The sequence below is a fragment of the Homo sapiens genome, chromosome 9 (genome assembly GCF_000001405.40).
Source record: "Homo sapiens chromosome 9, GRCh38.p14 Primary Assembly".
In the NCBI taxonomy this organism is placed as follows: Eukaryota; Metazoa; Chordata; class Mammalia; order Primates; family Hominidae; genus Homo; species Homo sapiens.
Window position 1 is genome coordinate 90,568,031 of NC_000009.12, and position 21,867 is coordinate 90,589,897.

A 21,867-nucleotide genomic window follows, 5' to 3' on the forward strand; every position below is an offset into this window, starting at 1 on the left:
TCCTAGCTACTTAGGATGCTGAGGCAGGAGGATTGCTTGAGCCAGGGAGGTCAAAGCTGCACTGAGATATGATTGCAATACTGCACTCCAGCCTGGGCAACAGAGTAGGACCCTGTCTCAAATAATTAATGATAGTAATAATAATAATGTCAGAGTACCTTTTTTCACAAGAAACAAGTTATATAAACAAGAAAATGTTTTCCACATATACAACTAAGATGTGTTTTTCCTGGGAAAAAGTAATGCCCACTTAGAAAAATTGCTTGCTTCTTAGGTAATCAATAAGGAGGTCAATAGTTAGAAGCTACTGCTTATAGGGAAACTGAGAGCAGAACCCATCTCCCATCCCCCATTATCACCCCCAGACCTCTCCCACCCACACAGCAGCCTCATTTTCATGCTAGCAACCCTGAAATTCTGTGTTTGTAAGGCTGAAGAGTTTGCACTTAGATGCAACCGTGTGGTTGAGCTTCTGCAAATTGAACATGAGCAGGTGATGTGCACGCCTTTCAGGTACGGCTCCTAAAAAGCCATCCATCAAGCTCGGACCTTCAGCAACATGTTTGGAAGCGTCATGCCGACAGAATGCATTAACTTTTATTTTCTGCATTTAGCAAGTTACATTGAGGAAGAAATGAACTTAGGAAAGGATTATTCAGTTTGCAATAGAAAGAATCCAGAAAGCTAGGTCCTTGAAACATAGGGAGAATAAACTATTTTTTCAACTCAAATTTCAAAAAGTAGACTGTAAAATGCACTGAACAAAACAGGCCCATTATGATTCTTCCGTTACATAAAGCAATTCCACTTTGTCACAAAGACCCAATTAAGAGCCTCTCATCCTACTCAAGCTCATTGTTTTGGACGTCCTCCAGGTAGCTACTGTTAGTTTGGAAAAAAAAAAAAAGGATGTAGGGCTGAGGAAACAGAAAAATAAAAGAGACCTGAGAATTATGCTTAGGAAACCTATTGATATGTATGATATATAATTCTGCTCAAAAAAACATAGCTCAAAGGCCTATTTGGTTCCAGCGGAAATTAAATTTTGAAAAAGGAGGCAAAACGTAAAAAGCATTTGACTGTTGAAGTTTTTGATCATTCAAGCTTTAAAACACCTCTTAAGCTTCTCAAATTGTACGAGTAGGAATTAGGCTGTAAACCTGAAATGAAAGCAGAAAGGGGCTGTTGGCCCTTGACTTTGGAGAGGGATGAGTGTGTGTTTGTGTGGAGGAAAACCGGAAGATACAGCTGAAGTTGAGCCTGATCTGCTCAACTGCATCTCTTTCCACTTTACCGAGTTCACACGGCACTTCCCTTGGTATCAGGAGAAGCCCTGTGAATGTTAACAGAGGCTTATGCTTCCCAAGCCCCCATGTGTGGGATGCCATACTTCTTCTTCTTCAGTGACCTGAAAGGACATGTGCTTAGGATTGTAGGTCAGTAAGGCATACGAGCCTGGGTCTCTGAATCCCTGTGTGGAGCAGAGCCTCCCCAGAAACAGGTGTATTAATTCTGAACAAAATATAAATGTGTATTGCCTAACTTCTTGTTATAAGGGAAATTATTTATTTTCTCATTGCATTTATTTTTGTCACAGCAGCTGGTGTTACTTTAATTAAATCAAGTGTCTTCCCTATTGGCCTCAAGCCAACACCACCTTTTCCTCAACTTCCTCTCATAATTCATTGAGGAAAGAGAAACAGGAACCAGCAAGTCAACCCCTTTGCCTCACCAAATCTGAACGCATGTTTTAGGGCTAATCACTTGTGAAGTGATGAAAGTGTCCCTCCTCCCATCACAGCAAACTTCCACCAGTTGTGTTGTGGGTCCTATCTCTAACTGTTGAAGGACTTTTTACTGTAGATGGCCCTTCTGCCTGCATTGTCATCTCTCTCCCTTCATTGTGTCATTTCTCTCAGCAGAGAAATGTTATCCATTCATTATTTCCCTGATGAGAAATTATCTGTTCCCAATTTCAGCAACATTTCTCAAAGGAATTTTCTGCCTCCATTGTATCCCCTCTTTATTGTTTCACTTTAAGAAAAAAAAATGTATATATGTAATATATGTATTTATATGCACACACACATTACTAGTGAGCATGATAGCTGGTACAACAATGTTGGAAATAACTGACACCAAACATATGCACGCCCTATAATCAAGAAATTCCATTTTTAAGCACATATCTAAAAGAAATGTATACATGTGTGCACCAAAAGGTGCATACAAAAGTCTTCCTAGTAGCCAAAATCTGGAAGCAGCACATGGCTATGAGGACAAATGAATAAATAGGTTGTGAGATATTTATGTACAGAAATACTACTCAGCACTGAAAATTAATGAATACTGTTATGAGGACTAGCAGGGATGAGTCTCACAGACATAATGTTAAGTGACAGAAGCCTGATGTAAAAGACTATATATCCTATGACTCTATTTCCATTTATACATTGTTCAAAATTAGGCAAATCAAATTTCTGGCATTACAGAGCAGGAGGAAGGGGTCATGATTAGAAGGAGTAAGAAGAAGCCTTCTGGAGTCTAAAAATGTTCTATTTCTTGATCTGGTTGTAACCAGTTGGGTTAATTTTGTGATAATCCATTGAGCAATACATTTAATGAATTGTATCTGTTTTGTAGAGATGTTGTACTTCCGCATATCTGACTTTTTTAAAGGTAATAAAATATGATAAATAATGCTGTTGTATCCTTTGTCAATTCTTCCCAGATCCATCTCCCTCACTCCACACAGGCAAGCATTAATATGAGTTTATTATTCATCCTCCTAATCTATTATGATATTATTATGTCTGCATATGTATGAAGATATGTATGTTTTTGTCATAAAATAATATACATAACTAATACTGTTCTGCAACTTACTTTTTTATGTATCATGGCTTTTGAGTTCTATGTATTTATCCTTATGCATTTGTATAATGTATTCCTTTTAACTACTCTATCCTATCACAGCACATTGTATCTACCCATTCCACTATTGATGGGCATCAATCCTCTTTCATGCTTTCCCTGCCATGAAAGCAGTTTGTCAGTGAGCGTACTCCTTTTCATCTCGCAGTGCCCACAGGAACAGGTCAGCTGGCACAGCCATGTGGGATGAATGAAGAAGGACCAGACTTACAAGTGTGATTCAAATAAAAGAGTTTGATATGGGGAGGCTATCCTGGATTATGCAGTTGGGCCTGATGTAATCACAAGAGTCCTTGTAGAAAGGGCACATGGGATCAGAGTGATTACTAGGAAATGCTACAACAGAAGAAAAAGCTATTGTGATGAGAGGAAGGGTCTCAAGCCAAGGAACGCAGGTGGCCTCTTGCAGCTGAAAGAGGCAGGGAAACAGATTCTCCCTCATGGCCTCCGGAATGCGCCAGCCTTGCCGATTTCAGCCCAGTGAAGCTCATTTTGGACTTCTGATCTCCAGAACAGTACAAGAATAAATTTATATTGTTTTAAGCTACTAAGTTTGTGGCAATTTGTTACAGCAACAATAGAGAACAAATACAGAAGGAGAGAGGAGAATTTGGGTCACCCACACTTCAATCATTAGAATTTCTGCCTCATGATAAAGAGGTCATGTTACATTTAACTTCACAAGTTTCCTCTACAACTTCGAAGAAAATGTGCCCCCTAATAGGTAGAAAGCTGCATAAATGTTGCTCTGGCTTCTCATAAACACACACACACCAATGATCCCGGTGGGTCTTCAGGTCAGGTCACAGGCCACACCACCTCTGTGTCCCTGCTCTACATTCCTCTGTGAGGTGTGCTGAAGGCAATGGAGGTGTGCGTCACCATTCTCAGCCTCTTCCACTCCAGGGCTGATGCTGTTGTTGCTTTGTTGGTTTAAATGGTGTCCATTTTCTGCCATGTGGCATTTAAATACATGATTCTTTGATCTTCAGTTAGAGAGAGGAGAAGAGGCTCTTATGAACTATGTGAAGCTTTGCTGAGGCAAAGCTGCCAGGCGTAATCTGTGGCCTTATTTTTTCAGTTTCTTATCCTAACATGACCTCCTTGCTCTATTGCTCACATTACTACTTGAAAGTGATTCTTCAAATATTATATTAACTTGCACTGAACCAGTGCTTTTTAAATTTTATTTATTTTTAGGAAAACAATTTGAAAGTGTTTCTTGTAATACCTATTATTAATCTTTTGAAATACAGCCATTATTTCATTAGGTAGATACTGGAACAAGATATGTACATACATAAAGAGGAAGGGAGGAAGAGAGGAGAGAGAGAGCAAACACCACTCGCTAGGAAATAGTCTTTCTGAGAAAATCAAACCCGAATCTGATCTAGCCTCCATACTCAATTATCTAATACAGGAAATGCATAGGACAGAGAAACATATTAAATGATATCCCAGACAATCAGGAAACAATCCAGATTCATGCACACATAAATATCAAAAGATACAAGAAATAAAAACTGGAGGAGGAAGCTGCAATGGACATTATTTGGATTTCAATAAATTTCAAATAATCATTTCAAAGAATCAAAGTGTAAGAGAACCACATTTGTAAGACAATTTACAATTTGAACATTGGGTGGATGGATGCACAGATACAGATAAAAGGAGATGGATGGATGGATAGATAGATAGATAGATAGATAGATAGATAGATAGATAGATTGATAGACAAATAGATACATAGACAGAGAAATAGACAATTAGGGTCACACCCTTCACCCTACTCACTAATAAGTAGACTATAAAGCAGAGCTTGTCAAGCTTTGATGTGCTTATGAATTAATGAGGGATTCTGTTAAAAATCAGATTCTGAGTGAGTAGGTCTAGGGCAGGCCCAAGGTTCTGCATTTCCAACAGGCTCCCAGGTGATGCTGTCACTGCTGGTCTGTGGCCCACACTTTGTACAAGTAGCAAGAGTATACAGATTAAAAGTTGAGCCAGACTAGGTGATATTGGGCAAATTATTAAACTCCTGAGAATGTTTTTATAATACTAAGCTATAGAGCTGTTGTAAGACCTGAACTCGATCTTGTGCTCAAAGCTCTTGGCCATTAGTTTTGTTATAATTACCTTCTAACTGTCTCTTTTTTCTCTGTTGAGCTGGATTCATTGCCTATCTTAATGCAATTACGTGAGTTTATATATTATATATATCTTTTTCATTTAAATAGTATAAATGAGTATTTTCCCACATAATTAAAAATTCCTGATAAAAGTATTATTGTCATTATTATTAACAATAGTAGTAGTAGTAAAATTTGCATATGCTTTTAAAAACACACACGTTAAAAAAGGACCCGAATAAAAAGTAATAGCCTCTTTCCTGCCATTCACAACCTCTGTCTCCAGAGACAACCACTATCAACATTTTCTATCTTCAGTTTTTTGGTGTTGATCCCTATAACTCAATAAAATACAATATACACATTCTGTTATTTCTTGTTTAAACTTCAGACAGGGCTATTATTAAGGATAAGACATGTGGCATATAAATAAATTAAGTCACTATTTTGAAAACTGGTAAGTAAAGGGGAAAAGTCATTCATTTCCTATACGGAGTCTACCGCTGGCTAGCCAAGGAGTAGATGAGTCAGAGTTTCTCCTTACATGTATATTCCAGCTAATGAGTGAGAAGGAAAGATAAAATTAGAATGGTGCCATTTTATAATCCTAATAATTATTTAGACATTAAACATCAGAACAGCCAATATCACAAAAGAAGACAATCAGAGAGTATGTGGCTTCTGATGGAAAAGTCCATCAGCAACTGTAAAGTAGTCTGTCAAAATAAATAATCTGAATCTTTTCAAGTCTCTAGATCCAACTACAATTTATAAGTAGAGAGGACAGGAAAAATGTTAAATTTGACACCACCCAAAGACAATAATCAGAATCCAGAACATGGGAAGGTATTGAACAAATGGGCAGATTTTTTCAACAACGAATTGGAAGGGGGAGAAAATGAGAAGAAGATCAAGGATAAAAAATATGTAAAGGGCCTATCATCAAGACCAATGGGTGCATTTTATTTGGATCCTGACTCAAACATGGTAAGAAAAATCTAGATAATGATGACATTTATGAAAGAATAGAAAATGTGAATGCAAATTGAATTTTAATCATATTAATAAATTATTGTTCACTTTTTGTTGTGATCATATTATTTTCACTATGTTTTTAGCCATCCTTATCTTTAAATGTTCGGAAGTAGTTATACCTGAAATGACATGATACCTTGAATTTGCTTCAAAATAATACAGGGTGAGAGAAATGGGTGGGAATATAGATGAAGTAAGGTTGTCCATGAATTGATAATTTTTGAAGGTGGGTGATGGGTATATGGAGGCTTTCTATTTTATATGTTTATATTTTTTTGTAATAAGAATTTTTAAAGTTTTAAAGAAAGTATATCTAAAGGTTAACAATTTTTAAATCTAAGTGGTGGGTAATAGTGTTTATCAAAATACTTTTTTTTGTATTTTCCTGTTTGAAATATATATAATTAATAATATGCAATAAAATAATAAAACAAGAGAAATAATAACTAACCAAAAAGAAATTTAGCTTATCTACTACTTCATCCTTTCTCTTCTTCCCAGACACCCTCATTTTTTTGTATGGTAATATTATTCTTATTTTTAGTGTTTCTTCTGAGTGGATTTATGAATTTAAAATTTTATTCAATCTGATCCTGGAGAGAATACAGAATCTGACCCCCCAAAATCTAAGTCTATCACAAATATATGAGGAAATGTCACTGAAGGGAATTAGGGGAAAAGTTTTAACCTAAGTAACTTTGGGGGAAAAAAATAGAGTCTGTAAGACTAAAGGCAAAAAAAAAAACACTGTGCATAACACTGTACTGTGGCTGATAAAGTTTTTTCTCACTCGGGTGCAGATTATCAATGCTGATACTACTATACATGTGTGCTGCAATGGGACAATTAAGCAAATGGATAGAAGACAACTGGAGCCAGGTTGCTCACAACTGGGGGCCATGAGTTACAGATAAGTAAGAGAAGGAGGTTAGAATGATGTTTCGTTGATAATGCATTAGAGTTGTGGACACAGCATAAATATTAGGCAGAAATGTTAGGCATATAGCATATGTTAGGCAGAAATTATGTTCTGCCTAACATAAATACAGATGGTTACAAATAGAAATATTCACAGAAGTGTATATATAGATTGGATCATACACACACATGTATTTTCTTGCTTTGTCAGCTGAGAGGGTCTAGAAGCAACAAACCCCAGTAGCAATGAATACATATAGTGCCCAGATCTTGGTTTCTAATACCATTCTCAATAAAAGAAAACAGGGATCCTTGGAGAAATGGCTGATCCTAGGACTAGGACAGAAAATATACAAGACAAGCCTGGAGCATCTTGTAGTACAAACAAGTAAGAAAGTGCTCAAAAACAAAACAAAATGACGGGAGTATGTCCATGAATCTTAAAGTCAACTGAAAACTCCCAGTGGCCAAAACTGGAACAATTTGAGCAAAAATAAGTAAATAAAGTGATGTTGGCTTATAGCACAATGTATAAAATAAATATCCACATGTCCATTCTAATATGAATAAATGATGGGATAATAAATACATGCAGAATAGATAAATATTCTATGCAGAAGAATTTCAAATAATGTATATAGATAGCCACCCCCAGGGTAATAAAGCATTACTCTGCATTTAAGTGTGGGCAGCATACAGTGACTCCCTTCCAAAGGGTACAATATGGAAAATGGAGAGAAAAAAAAACAACATAACTTTAGAGCGGAGAAACCTCACCAATGCTACTCAGCCACGTGGTCAAAATGAACATCAATAGTGATGTCATGTTGATAATATGTACCCTTGAGATGATGTTTATTAAAATTTTTATTTAAAAAATATATGTATACAGATATGTATATATACATTACATATAGCTATATTTACTGACTTATTAGCTTTCTAATGTGATTAAATCATTTCCTTCTAGCATATTTGACTGTTTTCTTCCTTTTCTCTCTCCTGCCATCCCAATTTTTGTTGGTTTTATTGTTTACTATGTTTTAAAGTTTCCAACATATACATTCCATTTTGAAACTATACTTATTTCTTTAAAAATTTGCCTATAGATTAGTTATAAGAATGAAAAACTAAAACATGGCAATCACAATATTAACACTGTAGAAATATTTATGTAGAACTACATAGTATTGTTTGAGGGATATGAAAGGAAACAATGTTTTGTCTCTTTCCTAATTAAAATAAATCCTTTAAAAAAATTCCTTTTAGCTTTATTTCACTTCTTCCTTAACTAAATCTTTTACACTGTTATATTGTTTATATTGTCTCTCTCTCCTTTTTTTAACCTTAATGCTGTCTCAACAATTTTTAATTCATACAAGGTTCACAGGTAAACAGTTACTTTTTACATATCAGATAATGTTTTACTTTATTATTTTTGACATTGTTATTATTCTTACAATTTTTCTTTCATTTTTGTTTTGTTTTGTTTTCTCCATCTAGAAATCCTCTTAGATAAACTCTGGGATTCCTGGATGAGGGTATCTACATTCCTAAGCTTTTCACCCTTACTGTCCCATTCTTCCTTTTTCCTTTAACACCTTTGAAGAGTTTCTCAACATCTTCCCAATTATTGATTCTATCTCTGGCTGTTTTCTCTTATTCATGCAGCCCCTTTACAAATGTTTTCAGTCTGGCAATATTTTAATCTCCAAACATACTTTACTATTTATTCTCCTGCTGTTCTCTTTCCATGGCAAACTTGTATTATTTTAATAATAATACCAGACCTCTTAAAACTCTGTGAAGATTCTAATTCAAATTAGTTAAATGTTTTTTTTTCTTTTTTTTTTTTCTGGATTATTCCTCCAGCAAAAGTTTGGTTTTGTTTGCTTTATTTTGTTAATTTATCATAAATCTTTTATTTCCTTAAATGTCTGATGATTTGTGGTTTATTCTTATAAATGAGAAGCTACTTTAATTACTATTGATTTTTTGAGTCTCTTTTTTTAAACATAAACATTTTTGTAGGCCAGGCGTGGTGGCTCATGCTTGTAATCCCAGCACTTTGGGAGGTCGAGGCAGGTGGATCACGAGGTCAGGAGATCAAGACCATCCTGGCTAACATGGTGAGACCGTGTCTCTACTAAAAATAAAAACAAATTAGCCGGGAGTGGTGATGGGTGCCTGTAGTCCCAGCTACTTGGGAGGCTGAGGCAGGAGAATGGCATGAACCCGGGATGTGGAGCTTGAAGCGAGCCGAGATCGCGCCACTGCACTCCAGCCTGGGCGACAGAGCGAGACTCTGTCTCAAAAAAAAAAAAACAAAAAAACAAAAAAGCAAACAAACAAAAAAAAAATTTTTGTAGAGTTTTTCTATTAAAAATATAAGAAATGAAATAGTATCTTTTGAGCTTTATTCCTACTTGTCATCAGTTTTTTTAACTTCATCTTCACCATTCTTGATTTTTCTATTAGCATTATTTGCTGACCAGCAGAGTACTAACTAGAATACACTATTGCAGGATGTAAATAATAAAACTTACATGGGTTAGGTATTTCATTTTGATTTCTATACACTAAAATTCATACAATAAAATTCTGAGACAAACCTGATATCCGTTTCTTTACAGAAAACCTTTTTGGCTTGTTAATGTATTTTTTATTCTTGAAAGAAAAATACATTCAAGTTTTCTGTGTTCATTTATAGTTAATTAATTTTGCCTAGAATTCAGCTGCCATTTAGATCTATAGTTTTGCCTCTTTCTTTAAACTAGGCCTATAATTCATTTAGCATTGCTTTTGCTATAAATATTCAGCTTTCTCCCTCTGAGATCCATCTCATATCCTAGACTGGCACCCCTGAAACACGTTCTTCTTTCTGTGCCTCCCCTCTGTTTCATACATGGCCTCTGCGCTGCCTTGCCCAGGGGAAGAGCTCAGAAGCTTGACAGAGGGAAGGACGGAACACCCTGAGGGTATTTTTTTTTTCCTGTTTTTGGATTTGCCCTTCTCTTCCTCCTTTAACTCCACTCTTTCTGTGCTCATTAGAGTCAGTCTCTATGAGTGGAGTCTCTGCCCCACAGACACCGTGTATAATCTGCAAACCTGCTCTTTCCCCAAATCCAGCCCCTGGAGGCTATTTAAGGGGCCATGGTCTGTTGTGTTCTAAAACTCCTAAGCACAAGAGAAAAACAGGTGTGTAGAATATTTCTCGGCATGACTATCAGGTGAAAAATGAGTGAAACAGCAGAAATATTTGTAGATGCCTCATTTCCACTAACATACTTGAGGATGTGGCAACAGTCATTTGTATTTTCTTACTTCCTTGAGTAGACACAGACCTCCAGGGAAACCTGTGTATTGTAAGGCATTTCTCTTTCACAGAGTTGCATCCTGTTTTCTCACACTTTAACACTTTAATGTCCAGGCAATTGGTGGTGATTTTCACTTCAATTAAAAATGAATTAGAAAGTAAGCTTAGCTCTAGCACATATAACCAATGAAAATATGACCAGGCAAGGAAGTGAGTGCTCCCTCAGGCACTGACTGAACTCACAAGCAATGTCACCTTGTCACATTCTTGACACCAAAAATCTGCCTGTGAATCTTAGTCCACCTGTTTATTAGCTACCAAACACCAAGTGAAAACATAGAAGCAAAACCAAAACAAAAGAATAAACTATAGAGACACCGCTCAATAAGATAAAAATATGTCCACAAATCTTATGACTGGTTAGGAAATGGGAGAGTGAAGCAGGGCATAGGGAATACAGAAAGTCTGAGACATGCTCATCGTTAAAAATAGTTTGGACACTAGGAGACAAAAAGGTGAAAACGATACCTGTGTGTGTTGGTAATAAACTCTGGATCTTATCAACTGCATTACATTGATTTCAGGATTGTAACAATCAATATATGTTAACCTAGAAAGTATGCATTTCAATGAAAAATGTAAAGGGTTTGAAGTCACTGTAAATCTTATTGTATTTCATTTACTATGGATTTTTTTTTAAATTGTACTTTCTTTAACTTGAAATAAAAGAGTTTGGTTAAAGCCTTGTATTTCCTGGAAATCCACATGTAATGTCCGGTGATGGGGCCTGAGTGTAAATGTGAGGTATCTTCATGAATACTCAGATGTAATGAGGATGCAGAGAGATTGTGACACCTGCCCTTCTGCACTGGATGGATAATTATACTTTAATTAGAACATAATTTTTTTGTATTCCCGGAAGGAACATACACTCTGTAGGAACCAAATTGAATAGTAAGTAATAAAGTTGTAATTAAATTGATAGTTGGTTATACCCCACTGTGAGCATTGGACACGATGCTTAGGTTTTCTACAATATTTTCTGTAGAGCTCTCATGGGGTCCAGAGGACATTTTGCAATATACAAGGCAGTTATTATCATGAAAAGCAAGTCACTTAAGATTCCTAAACATTCTCACATGATGTACCCTTTTGTTTGTAATTGGACTTTTGCTGTCAGAAGCAATTGTGTGTTTTAAGGGAAAGGCTCACTTAGGACTGCTAAGCTGATTCAAGAAGTTGGTCATGGATTCTGAAGTTCAAGACCGCAGCACAAAATGAAAAATCATTTTGTCTAGACACACAGCTAAGGTGATCCCCTAAACAATAGCCCTGCCAAACCCAGCAGCCCAAGCCTGAGACAATTTTGAAGAGGAGCCAGTTTTCTTTAAGGCAATTTCTTTACTCAACTCTCCTGCCCTTCTTTTCTGCCTCTTTTTCTAGAATCTAGAGCATCCACAGAGTCTCCTTCTACCACATTCAGTCTCATAAATTTTCCTCTATCAATCATTTTTAGCTTGGAGTAATTTAAATTACTTGTTCTAGGGATAGTGGTTTTAGGCTCTATTTTTAAAGCCAGAGGGTAGAGGGCCTTTCCTGCGACTTTTGTGACTACAGCACATGGCCTTTAACTACATTAGCCTGACTAGGGCAACCAGAACTAAAAGTTCTCAGAATTACAGAGATAAACCACAGGCCTGTCTTTTCAAAGCTAATAATTGTATACAGAACATCTCAAGTAGTAAAGCACAAAGAGATGCTTTTGCATCTGTACCATCTTCCCATGTCAAAAATACTGTCAGACCCAAATTGGACTTTTTTGACAAGAAAGAAAAAAAAAAAAAAGAAAAGAAAACAACTGTACTGTTTGGAAAAAAACACATGTGAACTAAAGAGAGATCTACACATTGTAGAATATGCAATCAGTGGACAATTAGCCAGTATTTAATTATCTGTTGCTACATAACCACCTTCTCCAAAATTGAGTGGATTATAATATTTATTATCTCCCAGTTTCTATGGTTCAAAAACCCAATCATGACTAGCTGTGTCTCAGGGCTCCTCCGGAAGCTGCAGTCAAGGTGTTGGCCGGGGCTGTGGCCATCTCAGGTTCTGTTTCTAAAGTCTCTGGCCCGGTTGTTCACAGGATTCATGCCTTTCAGGCTGTTGGATTAATGGCCTTTGTTTCTCACTTGCTGTTGGCTAGAAGCATCCCTCAGTTCCTTGCCACATGGGCCTCTCTTTAGGACAGTCACACCAGCAGCCTGGGGCTCATCAGTGTGGGCAAGAGAAAAGAGCCATGGAGAGCATCTGAGCAAGACAGAGGTTAGAGTCTCCTGCTGCTGCTGTCAGAAGTGGCTTCCTATCGTTATGGCCATATTTTATTAGTCAGAAGCAAGTCACATGATCCAGTCCTCACTCAGGGGTGAGGATCACACAGAGTGTGAGTACTGGGAAGTGGAGATCACTGGGAGCCATTTTAGAGGCTGCCAACTAGAGCTTAACATAATGAAAAACAGGCACATTATGAAGAAATAAAATTCTTAGGCTGGGTGTGGTGGCTCACACCTTTAATCTCAGTGCTTTGGGCGGCAAAGGTGAGAGGATCACATGAGGCCAGGAATTTGAGAACATCCTGGGCTACACAGTGGGACCCTATCTCCACAAAAAGAATTTAAAAATTAGCCAGGCATGGTGGCACATGCCTGGGAGGCTGAGGTGGGGGGATCCCTTGACCCCAGGAGTATGAGGCTGTAGTGAGCTATAGTGAGCTACTATCATACCACCACACTCCAGCCTGGGTGACAGAGCAACACTCTGTCTCTATAAAAGAAAAAAGAAAGGAAATAAAATTCTCATATTGGGTGCCTTAGTTTGTTTTTGCTGCAATAACAAAATGCCTGACTGGGTAATTTATAGTAAATAGAAATGTATTGACTCATTGTTTTGGAAGCTGGAAAATTCAAGATTGAGGGGCTGGCATCTGGCAAGGACCTTTATGCTACGTCATCTCATGGCTAAGGCAAGAAAGGCCTGAATGCATCCTCTTACAATGGCATTAATTCCACCTGTGGGGCTGCACCCCTCTTGACCTAATCACCTTTTAAGGGCATCATCTCTTAATACTATTACAATGGCAATTAAATTTCAACATGAGTTTTGGAGGGAACAAACATTCAAGCCATAGAATTGAGTAAAAACTTCTTGAGGTTCCTTATACCAGTGTCCTCCTTACAGACCATCATCATCCTCAGACTCAATCAAATACAGCAAAACTGACTTCTTTCTTTTCTGTTCCTAATGGAAAATAACAGTGAAGTACTGTTTAAAATAAGTCACTCAATGACAAAAGTCAATCATAAACACAGAGAGAACATCTTAATATTATGACTCAAAATAACAATATTGATAAAATACTTTTCAGAATAACAACTTACATCATAAAATGAAATATACTAGCTGACCAAAGATCTCATTAAATTAGAGAAAGGCAATTTAAGATTTTAATGAATTACTGTTTTTCTTTATCTCTTTAAGACTAAAGAAAAATATTGAGAATACACATAAATATTTTTTAAGTTTAAAAGAATATACACCTATAATGAATTGAAGAATGGGATTGGAGAAGATTGGAGATGACATAATCTGTACTATTATAATATGTAATGGTGTGTATTTTATCATTTGAATACATTTTTAATAAAAAGGCATTCAATACAAGGAAATGTAGCTCATAAGCCTGTTTATTCATATATAGTTATTTAACTATGAATTCGAAGAGCCTGTAGCATTCCAGTGTTTGCCATGGTACTAAAGATGTGTTAAACGCTAAATGAAACCAGGACATCTGCCCCAGGGGGCGTTCATACAGGAAAGCGCTCTGGTCTATTGTACTTGGCTGTGTTTGTAACGGTTGCATCTCTAAAGCCTCATAGACACCAATAAAGTGAAAGAGGGAGGCCTGGGCCGAGGGCGGATCCAGGAGGCTCCTGGGCTGGAGCAGGCAGCGCCCGGAGGCCGCAGGCCGTCTGCCCGCCTCAGGCCCGTAGGCTGCGTCTCCCCTCCCTGGGCCCTGTCCCCTGCAGGGCCAGAGAGGCCGCGGCCTCTGCCCAGTGGTACTGGGGGAAAAAGGAAGCCGCGAAGCGGGTCCTGGGGAAGAGCTCACCTGCTCCTGAGGGAAGTGGCGACAAGATGGCGCTTTCAGGTGGAGCTGGACGCCGACTCACTCTGCTCCTTGGGTCTCCGCCTTTCTAAGGCCACCTCCTGCTGGCACCACTCCGGGCCTACTTCCCGCACAGACTGCGGGTCAAAGGGAGCGGGATGCTGGCCGGCGGCACCTGGCTTTTTGGAAAGAGCAGGAAGGAGCGTGATTCCCAGGCAGCTGCTCATCCCAACAGCTTTAAGCTTTGGTTGTGATTGTTTTTACACCTATGACAAATGATATGGCCAGACACACCACAATGTCTGAACAAATTAGAGAGGAGCAGGACCCTGCGGACAGGCTGTGGCCCAAACAGTGGCTGCCAAGCAGACGGAGCCTGCACCAATGAAAATATGACCAGGCAAGGAAGTGAGTGCTCCCTCAGGCACTGACCGAACTCATAAGTACCCACTCCATTTGGCCAAAGAAGCCCCCATACTCTCTGTGAAACAGATTTCCAGAAGCTGTTGTGCCAATAACGAAGTCTCAAAAACAAATAAAAATAACAAACAAAACCCACACAAAACCACCAATACTGAAGATCATTCTTGAGTCTGATTTGCAAACTATGGGTTTGCAATGGGTTTGCAAACTGTGTGTTGCAAGGGTCCGAGTCTGCAGAGGCATTCCAGTGACAAGATACCGCCTTCACAGCCAGATCCGTAGGTCCCATCCATCATGCCAGGGAAAATGCTCCATTCACCGCGCCTCAGCTTCTGGTTCTGGTTTCAGAGTTCTCTCTGTATTGGAGGGGTTTTAAAGCTAGAGGGGCCTTTACCCACTTACTCCTATTCACGGATCTGAATATGGAGGTCAAGAGGGGAAAGTGACAAGTCCGAAGTCAGAGTAGATGAAGAAAACAGCCCCTTCTTCAAGGAGCTCCATCTAGCAAGGGAGACAAACTCTTTGCAGGCAGGACCAGGCTTCCCTGCTGCAGAAGGAAACTTAAAATTGGGGTAATGAGCCCCACCAGGGATGGGCCGCCACGCTGCCCTGAGAGGATCGTGTGTGGACTTAGGGCTAGACATGGCGCTACTTTGATCCCTCAGCTGTGCTGTAGGGCCGGGTGGGGCCTGGAGTGCCCTGAGCTAAGGGCTGCCAGGAGCTCTTTTCACTCCCCTAAGGCCCTGCAAAAGTAATGCCACTTTCAATTTGCACAGCGAAATCAGGGACACACTTTTCTAACACACGGGATGCCTCCCCTTCCCCCAGCCCAACGGACGATCTACCCTGTTGGTGGTGGGCCCTTGTTTCTGTTAGGCACGGAACTCTCCGCAGGGTTCCAAGTGGTCCGTTGTGGCCCACAGGCCACTAGCAAGTGGAGGCAGTGCTGCAGAGCCCTTGGGAGCCACGGAGGGCCTGCTGCCCACCACACAATGCCTGTTCAGCTGCTGCTGGCCACCCTGTGGGCAGCAGTGATAGTGATGTACAGAATCCTGGGACTAGCGCCAGCGACCCTGTGGATACCCTGGGTGGTCCAGGTATGCACTGCCGTGGTGGCCTTTGTGGTCAGGAGAGGACACTCAGTGAGAATAAGGGAGGAGCTAGCACAAAGGGATTCAGCCCAGGGCGAGGTCCATGAAAAGACCAGAGCCAAGATGCAGCCAGCACCCCAGGCTGGCGCTGGCCTCATGTCACCCAGGCTAGAAGCCAGTCATTGATCACCCCAAACCCTCTGCTTCAGGGTTGTAAAGGAAATAAGCAGGTCTTCCCATCCCAATAAGATGGTCTTCCCATCTAGGAGAGCTTCTGAAAAGAGCATGAAAAAGCAGGCCTCCTGAACTCCCATGAGCAACTGATGCAAGGCACATCCTACACCCTTCACCACATGGTGGAGAAGATCTTTAGGAGCAAAGAACAAATGATATGAATGACCACACTGACTGTCAGCAAACTGCAGAGCTGCTTAACCAAGAAATAGCGAGACTGAAGCAACGCTTGCAGTCAAAGAAGGAGAAGGCGGAAAGGCCAGAGCAGGGCAAGGCAGGAATCAAACAGGCCACAAATGTTGCAGTGAGGTAACTGACTTCCCCAGCCCACACCCCGATGAGCATCCTGCATCTGCTCCAGGGCAGTAGAGACCACGTGGAGGATGAGGACTTAGCAGTGGAGGGGAACAGGAAAGCAGAACATACTGGTTCCCCAGCGTCCCAGCCACAAGTCCCTCTGAAGAGTATGGATGACAATGGTGACTTAGGTCCATCCTTCAAATGTCCTGAAGGGGAGATTGGAACAGCAGATGTACAATTGTGGGAAGAATTAACAAGGAGTAAAGAACGCGTAACACAAGACCAAAGTCTGACCAGAGCAGGCCTCTCTGCAGGACAAGGGCACAGCCATGGAGGGAGCTCCTGAAGCTGCAGCTGAGGCTTCCCGCTCTGCCTGAACTACACTGAGAATGCATGATGGGGCCTCAGTGGGAGGACGCCTACTGCCTGGACCTCAAGCAAAGGCTTCCCAAGGTGCGCGGGTACTTGAACTGCGTGTGTCAAGACTCACAACTGCTACAAGAAGATGGCCCAATACCTGGTCCAGGTAATCAAAGAAAGACACTTGTAGTTTTCAGAAGGTGATCCTCTTCCAAGAGAAAAGGGCCCAGGAAGGATGGATGGTGGCCACATCCCCTGAAAGAGCACTCCAGGTGCTCTAGAAAGAAAATTACCCCAACAGGCTGAAGCCAGCTGACTGTGAGGCCAAGTTCCAACCTTTCCTGAAAGGTCCTTTGGCTCCCGAGGTTCTGTCTGCAGCCCGCAGGGGTCCAGAAGTGCCAGGGGGACAGTGGGCTGCCAGGAGCCCCAGGAAGGAGGCAGGTCATGATGGGAAGGCTTGGGTCCAGAGCACCTGCTCGTTTGATTCTCTTTTCCCTGTAGCCAGGTCCTGAATGCCCAGAGACACCGCAGAACATCAGCTGGTGCTGCCCCCTTTAAAGCACTTTTGATTGACCTATTGTTAGTTTAGCTACTGTTCATTAGTTGACGCTGAAATTGCTCTTATTGAAGTTTGACAGGTAGCATTAGAATTGTACTATTTTAGGTACTATTTTTCAAATAAAGATTATTGAATATAAAAAAATAAAGTAAAGCGAAAGGGCCCTTGTGGTGCTGGAAACCTGATTCCTAAATGTCAAAGTTATTCACAAGTCCTCATTTGTTGACTCATCATCACGTCCATTTCCCTTTCATTTTTTACCTTTTTTTCTCTTTTCACTGTCTTTCTGGTCTACAGAGATACTTTTGTCTACTTTCTGCAATCAATATGGCTCAGCATTTACTAAAATGGGTTTCTGAAGGACTAGAGTATTCGTTAAATGTTAAAAGTACTTAGTGGTCATACATTTGAGCATCACTAGCAAGCAAGGGTCACCAGTGGCTCCCTAAGAGAACCTTTAGGGGCAAGATGCTGAGTAGCACTAAGGATCTTTCAAGAGTATGCAGGCCATATCTCCAGGCCTCTGGTCCACAGAAGCCTTCTTTTAAAGACATAGCACTCTATGAAACTCAAAGTGGAAAATGCAACTGTAGTCAAAAATTGTCAGTGATTTATGCTAAATGTTGCCTCGATTCTTCTCACAATTCATATATTTCATCTCATAGAATTTTTTTTCTTTTCCTAGTCTACACAGTAAGTCCCCACTCTGATGTGCTGTTCAGTTCAAGTTTTTGCAAAGCCGTAAAAACAGCCCCACAAAGCAACAAAGCAAAGCACAGATGAGAGAGCACGGAGGATAGCATTGAGAGGGATGCCCCTGTTTGGCCTGGCATCCACACACCCCTGACAGATGTACATGTGTACATCTCAGCAGGATGGCAGAACATCAGTAGTGTCCCATCACTCTCAGATCTTAGATGAGTGCAGAGGCCCAGGACTGCTCCATACTGATCCAGGATGCAAGATGTTGCTTGCTAGTATTGAAACCAACAACTTTCCTCTCCGTGTTCCTGTATAATTTTGGATCAAACATATTTTCTTGTTTTTGTGCCAAACATTTCTAGCACAAAGATACTTTCTCATTTCTGTGCTAAATAATACTGGGATCAGGCAAAATTAACATGGCTACTTGCTGTACGAAGTAGTTGCTTGACCGATGAAATAGTTAGCTATCAATACCAGCCTCTTATAATATCAATACTTTCTTCTGGACCCTTACCTGGCTATGCACACCAATCCAACTTATTGGTCATAACCTCTGTCCAACCCCAACCAGTTCCTCTTCTGAAATACTGCCTTTAAGTCACCCAGCCTAGTCTGTAAAACTCTATAAACCTCTTGCCCTTACTTCCCCCTTTGGAGACACTGTGACTCTCGGGGTGGTGGTTTCCCATACTGCAATAAATCTAACAAAATTAGCTTTGCTTGATCAACAGGAATTTTGAGAGTGGTCTGTTTTGGGGACTGGACAGCTGACATTTGAGGACTGTGAACCCTACCATTAATATGACAGCACACAAATATGTGAATACTCACTTTGGTTTAATGGACTGACGTATTAAAATGATCTTGAAATTGGTCATTAATATGACATTAGAGGGACCATGAATCCTATATGCCCTATGTTTTTCAGGCCCTCTCAAGACGTGGGAGTCTTAGTCCCTAATTGAGCAAGATTTAGGAAAGAGTAAGTCAAGGACATTGGGCTCTAGATAATTATGCAAAGGCTAGTGACATGAACCATGACCTAGCCCTGCCCAGCCCACCCTCAGCAGGCCATTTTACACCATCCTTTTAAAATCACCTACAGGAGAAGTGACGATGGGCAGAGGACCCAGGACATTCCACGCAGCCTTCTCAGTTTCAGCAGAATGTTCTTCTCAGTAAAAGGCTTAAGTGGAGAATTAACTTTTATAGCAGTGTCTTCCATAAGGAAAAACAAAAAGCTATTTCTAGTAACCTTAGTTAAGGTGTGAATGTCTGTGTGTGTGCACGGGGTTGTGGGTCTAGTGCACAACCACATGCACATAGGGAGCAGGTGTCAACAATCTCAACTCATGAAAGTTTTCTGAAGTTACCACAGTGAAGAGGAGACTATTTAATGACCACTAAAGTGATATAGTACTGTGATTACAGTAAGACTGTGCCTGGCTTTGACCACAGTATAATTTTCTTTATTGAAACCATAAATTTGTTGATCTTTCTCACATAATGGAACGTGAATGTATGAGCTTGGAAGCCGTCTAATTATAAAAGAGAATAATTTAAAATAGCCATAATTAATTGATAGTCTGCTATGTGATAGTCTGCTATGTGCCATGAAACTTGCAAACATTATCTCAAGTCCTCTAAACCAGTGCTTCTCAGACTTACTGTGCTTGAGGATCCCCTGGGGATCCTGTTAAGGTGCAGATTCTGGCAAAGTAGCTACAGAGTTGGGCCTGGGAGATTTTGTGGGGATGGAACTATTCTGTGTCCCAATTGTTATGGGGATTACAGAAATCTAATCATGTCTTCAAATTCATAGAACTATATGCCAAAAAATGTCACTACATGATACATTTTGAAAAATAAAATGTAAAGTCACATACATAAAAAAAGTATCAATGTCTCCTGAAGTAAGACCCTGAAAACTTCATAATATCGTTATGTAATAAACCTTCCAAAAAATGTTGAACAGGAATCTAGTCATGAGGAAACAGCTCATATTGCAAGACATTCTACAAAACAACCAGTCCAGATTCTGCAAAATCGTCAATACCATTGGAGGGAAATAAGCAAAAAGGCTGAGAACTACTCCGATTTAGGAGACTAAATATGGAGACACGACACTGCATGCAACGTGGGATGCTTGATGGGTCTTATATTGGGGAAAAGCCCGGCAGTAAGAGACATTGTTGGCATAAAAGGGGAAATGTGGACATGAACTCTGTGTTAGGTAAAGTATATGGCAACTTTAAATCACCTGAATGTCATCAGTTTACTGTTTATAAAGGAGAGGTGATTGTCTTCAATTCAAGCTGAAATAGTCAGGGTCAACATGATGATGTGTACAACTCATGTCCAAATAATCCAGCAGAACATGTGTATGGAGGGTTTCAAACCCAGCAGGACGTTAATGCAGGGGAAGGGCCCATGGGTGTGCATTATACTATTCTTGCAGCTAATCAGGAGACCTGACATTTTTCAAAATAAAAGTTGGTGTACTCATTTCCTATGACTACTGTAACACACTACCACAAACTAAGTGGCTTAAAACAACACATTCATTATCTTACAGTTCTGGAGATCAGAAGTTCAAAATGGGTTTTATGGGCTAAGACTAAGGTGTTGGCAGAGCTGCCCTCCTTCTGGAGGCTCAAGGAGAGATCCATCTTCTCGCAGTTTCCTGCTTCTCCTTGCTTGTCACCCCTTCCTCATCACATTTCCTGTTTGTCTCTCTCTTCTAACAACCCTGTGTTTACGCTGGGCCCTACTGGATAATCCAGAATAACCTCCACATCTTAAGCACAACTGCAAAGTCCCTTTTACCATGTAAACTAGCATTCACAGATTCCAGGGATTAGGATGTGGACATCTTTGGGGGCCATTATTCAGCCTACCATGGGTGCCAAGTGAGTTTTCCAATCCTTATGAAAATGTTTAAAGGGAGAAATAAGATAATGTTTTGAATAAAATGCATGTGAAAATACAACATCAAAATTTGTGAGATGTAACAAGAGTAGTGTTTAGAAAGACATTTATAAACATAAGGCTTATATTACAGAAGAAGAAAGGCATCAAGTCAATAATAAGCTTCCACCTTATGAAACAGAAAAGTAAGAGAGAAATAAACCCAAATACCCCAGTGAAGAAGAAGGAAGGAATTAATAAAGATCAAAGCAGAAATCAATGAAAATCAAAATCAGATATAGGGAAAATTAATTGAACCAAACAGTGATCTTTGCAACTATAAAACTGGTAAATCTCTGGAAGAGCTGATGAGAAAGAGAGAGAGAAGACACAAATTACCAACACAAGAAGGAGTGAGTGGATATCACTACAGACTCCACAGACATTAAAAGAATAATAAAGGAACACCATCAACAACCCTATGGATGTAAATTAAACTTAGTCAAAATTGAACAGTTCCTCAAAAACCTACCCAATATGAAATAAAGTTTTGCCCACTGTGATGTGCAAAGCAGAATGAAGGAAGGAAAATGTTTGGTAGAAAGAGGCACTGGTAGGAAGAGAATAATGATGTGGCAGGAGGCTGAGTTACAGTGGGAAGGGAACGATGGTGCAGAAACTCATGTGAACAGTGTGGCACATCAAGATATCAACCAATAAATATTCATGAACATGGATTCAAAGTGTAGTCCTAAGACAAAAAGAAAATTTTTATCTAAAATAACGTAGAGTCT

The 21,867-nt window shown here is 39.8% G+C and overlaps 1 long non-coding RNA gene across 1 annotated transcript in view, besides 1 other annotated feature; it reads right to left on the reverse strand.

The window, feature by feature from the left end:
* The window catches only part of LINC01501 (long intergenic non-protein coding RNA 1501), a 120,315-nt gene extending 105,599 nt beyond the window's left edge, over positions 1-14,716 (reverse strand). The window contains exon 1 of the long non-coding RNA NR_034157.1: positions 14,498-14,716. This is a non-coding gene — a long non-coding RNA (long intergenic non-protein coding RNA 1501). The remainder of the gene's footprint in view (positions 1-14,497) is intronic.
* Positions 16,729-16,898: an enhancer, noted in NCBI's record as "experimental_108990 CRE fragment used in MPRA reporter constructs". NCBI's record gives its function as "activates a minimal promoter by MPRAs in K562 erythroleukemia cells, with activity observed for the introgressed 9:93347126 variant allele {active_cell/tissue: K562}" and the evidence as "EXISTENCE:reporter gene assay evidence [ECO:0000049][PMID:34662402]".